The sequence below is a fragment of the Homo sapiens genome, chromosome 10 (assembly GCF_000001405.40).
Source record: "Homo sapiens chromosome 10, GRCh38.p14 Primary Assembly".
NCBI classification, from domain to species: Eukaryota; Metazoa; Chordata; class Mammalia; order Primates; family Hominidae; genus Homo; species Homo sapiens.
The window spans coordinates 94,645,578-94,653,239 of NC_000010.11; the positions used below are offsets into that span (position 1 = coordinate 94,645,578).

The window sequence follows — 7,662 nt, forward strand, 5'->3', positions numbered from 1 at the left end:
ACACAGGCAAACAATTTTGTCTCCATTTTGTAGTAATGTAATGTTCCTATTAGCAAAAAGAGATAATCAGCCTCTGTAGCCTGAAGGGACTAGAGTCTTAAAATGGGGATTTCCTCCTAACATTTTTTATTTTGATGTTTGAAACTCTTGATGTAACATTTTAGAGCGGAATGTTCAGGACCTGCTGTGCCCAAAGGACTGATAAAGGAAAAATCTCTATTCTTTATGGTTTGATGCACAGATGAAAAACTTAACATACAATAACAGCAGCTGGTCATTAACAAATAACATCATAGTCTTTCAGCTCTTCTGTAAGCAGAGGACATCTTCAACTTTCCAGCTAGTTTTAACACTGCAACATTAATGATGCATATATCCAGAATCAGTTTAAAAAGACCATCAAATTCCTTTTCTCTTCATTAATTTTTTACTGTCTGTTGGTCTCAAGTTTATTTGAATGATTATCTTTCGGCATTCTCTGGAATTGCTTGTTGAGGTGTTATTTAATTTTTTTTGAGACAGAGTCTCCCTCTGTAGCCCAGGCTGGAGTGCAGTGGCGCTATCTGCAACCTCCGCCTCCCAAGTTCAAGCGATTCTCGTGCCTTGGCCTCCCGAGTACCTGGGACTACAGGCGCCCGCTACCACACCCGGCTAATTTTTGTATGTTTTTGGTAGAGATAGGGTTTTGCCATGTTGTTCAGGCTGGTCTCGAACTCTTTCCTCAGTGATCTGCCTGCCTCAGCCTCCCAAAGTGCTGGAATTAGAGGGGTGAGCCACCGCCTGGCCTCGTTGGGGTGTTCTTGATTGTCCCCATGTTTTATGGGCTGGTTGGGAGAGGGAGCTTGGGAAGGGTGTGCCGCGGTGGGGAGATTGTGAATCACTGGAATGCCTCCAGGGATGATCCCTCCCATGGCGGCAGGAAGTCCTCCTGGAGCCAGATCCACCGTGTTTGGCCGATATCTGCATGCACACCATTGAGCTCGAGATAAATTGCTTGCTGGTTTATTACTGACCAAGGAGCTCATGTGACAAAGAATTCCTTGTTCACAGTTTTCTTTCTTTTTTCTCTCTCTTTTTTTTTTTTTTTTTTTGTTTTAGTGGTGCAATCTCAGCTCACTGCAACCTCCGCCTACCAGATTCAAACGATTCTTGTGCCTCAGCCTCCGGAGTAGCTGGGATTACCAGAACACACCAACATGCCCAGCTAATTTTTGTATATTTTGTAAAGACGGGGTTTCACCATGTTGGCCAGCCTGGTCTGGAACTCCTGAGCTCAAGTAATCTACCCATTTTGGCCTCCCGAAGTGTTGGGATTACTGGGCTGTGCCATGACGCCCAACCCTTCACACAGTTTCTTAAGCTTTCTGGGATGTGAAGGCTTCGCAGATCTTGGTGGCAGCTGCCTTCCTTGTCTCTAGTGATGTTTGCTCACTATACCAGGCGGTGTGGGGAGTACAGATAGAATTTGGTGCATCTTTCAATGGACCAGGAACACAGCTGAAGGGCTCCTATTCATATACTTGGAGGGCTGCCTCTCCTTTCCTGCCCTCCTTGAGGGCCCTGAGCTAAGGCTTTCTTATCCAACAGGATGCCCCAGGCTACATTTGCAAGGAATGCCTCTTGCCTCATCTACTTTATAGTAAAGTCACCATCACCATCAAAGAGGTGGTGGTGATGTTCATTGAGATTACAGTGTAAGGAGACGCAGTGTCTCTGATACAACAAATCCTGCAGGGTGTAGGTCCTCTGCAGGCCCAGGAACCATTCTATCCCATCCTGCAAGTAGGGGTCATAAAATATGACACTCAATCCAAAGACCTTGGATAGAACAGCAACTGCCTGCCCCCTGCAATTGCAGCCGATGAGGCCCACCATCTCCCTAAGATGTAGGCTCCTCCCGAGTTGACCTCGCGGATCTGCTCCATACTCTGTACCCGCATCGCTTCCCGCAGCGTCTGGTACAGCCACCTGTTCTTCCGGTACAGATGGAAGTGGAATTGACTATCTGTTCCACTGCTATGGACAGGATGCTGCACACAGCGATCCTGAGCTTGCTGGCAGCCCTGATGTTCTCATAGTCGTAGCTGCTGCCTATCTGCACGGTCACTCTCAGGGCTTTTAACCTCTCCAAGTCCTCCCTGTTGAGGGTGGTGGTGTGGTGCCTCATGGTGCCTACCGCTTCGTTTAAACCTACTCTTGGATCTCCTGTGTGGACTGCGTGTCACAGAAGGCCACGGTGGCTAAGTTTTTCAGGATAGTCATCTCCACGGTGCAGTGGCCTCAGTCCAGCAGTGCCACTGGGGGCTGGGGGGTGCTGGGGTGCAAAGGGCCTGTTCACGGTCTGAAAGCGGATACCTTCACCCTTCACAAATTCTGTTCAATCACTGTCTCTTGACTTTGTGCTTATCCATAGGGCCATTATTTATTGAACTTTGCAACTCAGATTCAAAAGTTAAAGCAACCCTCTGAGAGCTTAGGGAAACTTGGCTGAAACTGCATGCCTGATGGCACAATGAACCCAATGTAAATCTGTCCACGAATGCTGTAGGTCACATGATGGGTGGTCCGTCTTTTTAAGTAAATACAGCTTCATTGGTTCAAAACCTGTTTCCTTGCAACTCTGCTACCATTGCATAATCAGCAGACCTCCTTGAGAGTCCACTAGAGGGGTCAGGAACACCATGACTCCAGGTCTTTAGCACCCCAAATCTGCGATCACTAGGAGTGGAGGCGGCTCATACACAGTCCTGCCAGGTACTTGCTGCTTCTCTAAGCCTTGGTCGCAGGCTAGGGGTCCACCCCAATATCTTGTGGTCTTGTGGCTTCTCCTCTGCCAGGCCCTGCAGACGTGTGGGGCGCCAGCGACCTCGCTGGTGTGAGGCCCTGCTGGGTCAGACCCCCACCTTGGCCCGAGCTGGCCCACCTAGCACCTACTTTCTTTTTTATTGAGATAAAATTTAGCACAGGAAAATGTACCTTTTAACTGTAAGTTGACAATTTACAATTGTATAAATTTATGGGGTACAAAGTGAAATTATAGTTTATTAACAATGTAGAATAATTAAATGAAGCTGGTTAACATACCCATCACCTCAAATCCTTAGCATTTTTAATGATAAACACTTGAAATGTACTCTCTTAGCAATTTTGAAATGTATGATACTCTATTATGAACTATTCACTATGCTGTGCAATAGAACTCAAAAAATGAAAAAAGATATTCCTCCCGTCTGAGATTTTGTATCCTTTGACTATTATCTCCCCATTCCTCCCATCCCCCAGCCTCTGTAACCACCATTCTACTGTCTCTACGAGTTCAATCATTTTAGATTCCACATATGAGTGAGTTCATTCAGTATTTATCTTTCTGTGCCTGACTTATTTCAGTTAGCATGATGTTCTCCAATTCTATCCATGTTGTCACAAATGACAGAATTCCCTTCTTTTTTAAAGTTTGAATAGTATCGCATTGCATTGTGTGTATATACCACACTAACAAAATCTAAGCCAGGCATGGTGGCCCAACCTGTAGTCCCAGCTACTTGGGAGGCTAAGACTGAAGGATTGCTTGAGCCAGGCAGGTCAATGCTGCAGTGAGCTATGATGGTGTCACTGCACTTCAGCCTGGGTAACAGAGCAAGACCCTGTCTCAAAAAAATCTATCTGTACATGGACACTTAGAATGAGTCCATAACTTGGCTATTGTGAATAGTGCTAGTAAAGAACACTGGGTGCAGTTGTCTCTTCGGCATATTGATTTCAGCTCTTTTGGAGAAATACCCAGAAGTGGATACCCAGACTGCTGGATCATATGGTAATTCTGTTTTTAGTTTTTTGAGGAAGCTCCATACTGTTTTCCGTAATGGCTATACTAATTTACATTCCTACTAACAGTGTACAGGGTTCCTTTCCTCTATATCCTCCCCAATACTTGTTATCTCTTATCTTTTTGATAAAAACTATTATGACAGGTGTGAAGTATCTCATTGTAATTTTAATTGTATTTCCGTAATGATTAAGTTTGTTACACAGGTAAATGTGTGCTGTGGTTATTTGCAGCACAGATCAACCCATCACCCTGTTGTTAAGTACCCACTAGCTATTCTTCCAGATGCTCTCCCTCCTCCTTGTGCCCCCTCCCAACAGGCCTCACTGTGTGTTGTTCCCCTGCAATGTGTTCATGTGTTCTCATTGTTCAGCTTCCATTTATAAGTGAGAAATGTGGTGTTTGGTTTTCTGTTCTTGCATTAGTTTGCTGAGGATAACGGCTTCCAGCTCCATCCATGTCCCTGCAAAGGACATGATCTCATTCCTTTTTATGGTTGCATAGTATTCCATGGTGTATTTGTGCCACATTTTCCTTATCCAGCCTATCATTGATGGGCATTTGGGTTGATTCCATATCTTTGCTATTGTGAATAGTGATGCAATGAACATACATGTGCATGTATTTTTATAATAGAATGATTTATGTTCCTTTGGGTAAATACTCAGTACTGGGATTGCTGGGTCAAATGGTATTTCTGGCACTAGGTCTTTGAGGAATCACCACACTGTCTTCCACAGTGGTTGAACTAACTTATACTTCCACCAACAGTATAAAAGCATTCCTTTTCTCCACAATCTTGCCAGCAATTGTTGTTTCTTGACTTTTTAATAATCACCATTCTGACTGGAGTGAGATGGTGTCTCATTGTGGTTTTGATTTGTGTTTCTCTAATAATCAGGAATGTTGGACTTTTTTTCATATATTTGTTGGCCTCATGAATGTCTTCATTTGAGAAGTGTCTGTTCATGTCTTTTGCCGACTTTTTAATGGGTTTTTTTTTTTCTTGTAATTTTGTTTGAGTTCCATGTAGGCTCTGGATATCAGACCTTTGTCAGATGGTGTGATGGTTAATCACAATCCAATCAAGTTGACACTCCCTATTCTGATACTCAGACACAATCCAATCTTGACCGTATTGAAGGATGCAAAATATTGATCCTAGGTATGTCTATGAGGGTGTTGCCAAAGGAGATTAACATTTGGGTCAGTGGGCTGGGAAAGGCAGACCCACCCTTAATCCGGGTGGGCACCATCTAATAAGCTCTCAGTGAGGCCAGAATGTAAAGCAGGAAAAAAAATGTGAAAAGGCTTAGCCTCCTAGCCTACATCTTTCTCCTGTGCTGGATGCCTCCTGCCCTCGAACATTGAACTCCATGTTTTTCAGCTTTGAGACTTGGACTGGCTTCCTTGCTCCTCAGTTTGCAGATGGCCTATTGTGGGACCTTGTGATCGTGTGTGTTAATACTACTTAATAAACTCCATTTATATATATATTAGTTCTGTCCCTCTAGAGAGCCCTGACTGATACAGATTTTGGTACCAGGAGTGGTTCTAGATGAACAGAATATTAAGCATGGAGTTCTTTCATTGGTTTTGGGGTTTGTGGAGTTGACTGCTAATATGATTTGACCCAAAAATGCTAACGACTCTACTTCTAATAGTATGGAGAACACCGATAGTCCTTGGTGTGAACTGTTTAGAGGGTTATGCAAAATAGATGCATTTGACAGTCCTGATTCACTGCTTGTGAGATGCAAGGAGTTTAGTGACTCTATACATAATACTTTTGACTACATGTGGAGAACCAAGGAAGATAATGAAGTTGGTTGGTTGCTCCTAAGTTCACTGGATAAAGTGATGAAACAAAATGATGAACTCAGGGATTCTAACTCCCAGCTTCAGAAGTGGATACTGAGCCTCAAATCTGCTAAGATTGCCCTGAGTGGGAATCTTATCTCCTGTAGAGAAAGAGCTGAAATTGTGGGAAAAAAGACACAAGCTCTTATACAAGTGGCTAACCTGCAATGAAAGGTGAATGAACAGCCTTGCCAGGGGTTTACTGTTAAAGTGAGGGCATTGATTGGAAAAGAATGGGACCCTGCAATTTGGAATGGGGATGTGTGGGAGGACCCTGATGAAGCTGGGGACACTAAGCTTGTAAACTCTGATAAGTCTTTTTTGCCAGAAGAAACAGCTTCTGTTCCCAGTAGTGGCAACATCCGCTCTGTGACCCATGCTGCCATCAGCCTTTCCTCCTTTGTCTGAGTAGATAAACCCTGTGCTGTCTGAGGCAAGATAATGTTGATTCTCCTCAGTAGCCACCCCCAACACTCCTGTTTGCTTCAAGACCTATAACTAGACTAAAGTTCTGGTGGGCCCCTAGAAGTCAGGTTCAGAGTGTGGCCCATGAGGAGGTGTGTTACAATAGAAAAGAACTGCTTGACTTTTCAAATTTATATAAGCAGAAATCTGGAGAACAGTCATGGGAATGGATATTAAGGGTGTAGGATAATGGTGAAAGAAACATAGAGTTGGATCAGGCTGAATTTATTGATTTGGGCCCACTAAATAGAGATTCTGATTTTAATGTTGCAGCTCAGGAAGTTAAAAAAGGTTTTAATAGTTTACTTGCTTGGTTAGCTGAAACATGGATTAAAAGATGGCCCATTGTGAGCAAGCTGGACATGCCTGATCTTCCTTGCTTTAATGTAAAGGAAGGGATCCACAGGCTTAGGGAGATTGGGATGGTGGAGTGGATTAGTTACTTTAGACATACTCATCCCAGCTGGGAGGGTGCAGAAAATATACCCTTGACCAGTGCTTTGTGAAATAGATTTGTGAGGGCAGCACCTGCCTCTTTGAAGAGCCCTGTAATTGCTATTCTCTGTATGTCATATCTAACAGTGAGAATCACAGTCACTCAACTACAAAAGTTAAATACAATGGGAATAATTGGATTCTGAGGTGGCAGGGGCTAAGTTGTGGCACTCGAGCATCAAAGGCAAGGTGGGTGTAGTTACTGTAATGGACAGCAGAAGCAAAACAGCAATCAGAATAATCTGACTCATGTAGCACTCTGGCACTGGCTAATTAATCATGGTTCCTAGATGTGAAATTGATAGGAAGCCTTCTCCATTCCTGCTTAATTTATATAAGCAGAAAACTTCCAGGTCAAATGGACAAAAGACTAATTTGAATTATGAAACAGAGAATCATGGCGCCTCAATCAACTTCCAGACTTGAGCCAGTTTACAGACCCAGAACCCCTTGAATGAAGGGAAGCCTGGGTCTTCTTGAGGAAGGGCCCCACTTCACTATCAACAATTTATGCTATTGATCTTTCTCCCATCCTTCCCCAAGGAGACCTCCAGCCTTTTACTAGAGTAACTGTCCACTGGGGAAAGGGAAATGATCAGACATTTCAGGGACTACTGGACACTGGCTCTGAGTCGACATTGATTCCAGGGGACCCAAAATATCATTGTGGTCCTCCAGTTAAAGTAGGGGCTTATGGAGGTCAGGTAATTAGTGGAGTTTTAGCTCAGGTCTGACTTACAGTGGTTCCCTGGACTCATCCCATGGTCATTTCCCCAGTGCCAGAATGCATAATTGGCATAGACATACTTAGCAGCCTGCAGAACCCCCACATAGGCTCCCTGACTGGTAGGTTGAGGGCTATTATGGTGGGAAAGGCCAAATGGAAGCCATTAGAGCTGCCTCTACCTAGAAAAATAGTAAATAAAAACCAACATCACTTCCCTAGAGGGATTGCAGAGATCAGTGCCACCACCAAGGACCTGAAAGACCCAGTGGTGGTGATTCCTACCACGTCC

At 44.0% G+C, this 7,662-nt stretch overlaps 1 pseudogene; it reads right to left on the reverse strand.

Moving 5' to 3' along the window:
- Nucleotides 1,343-2,605, reverse strand: CTBP2P2 (CTBP2 pseudogene 2; annotated as a pseudogene).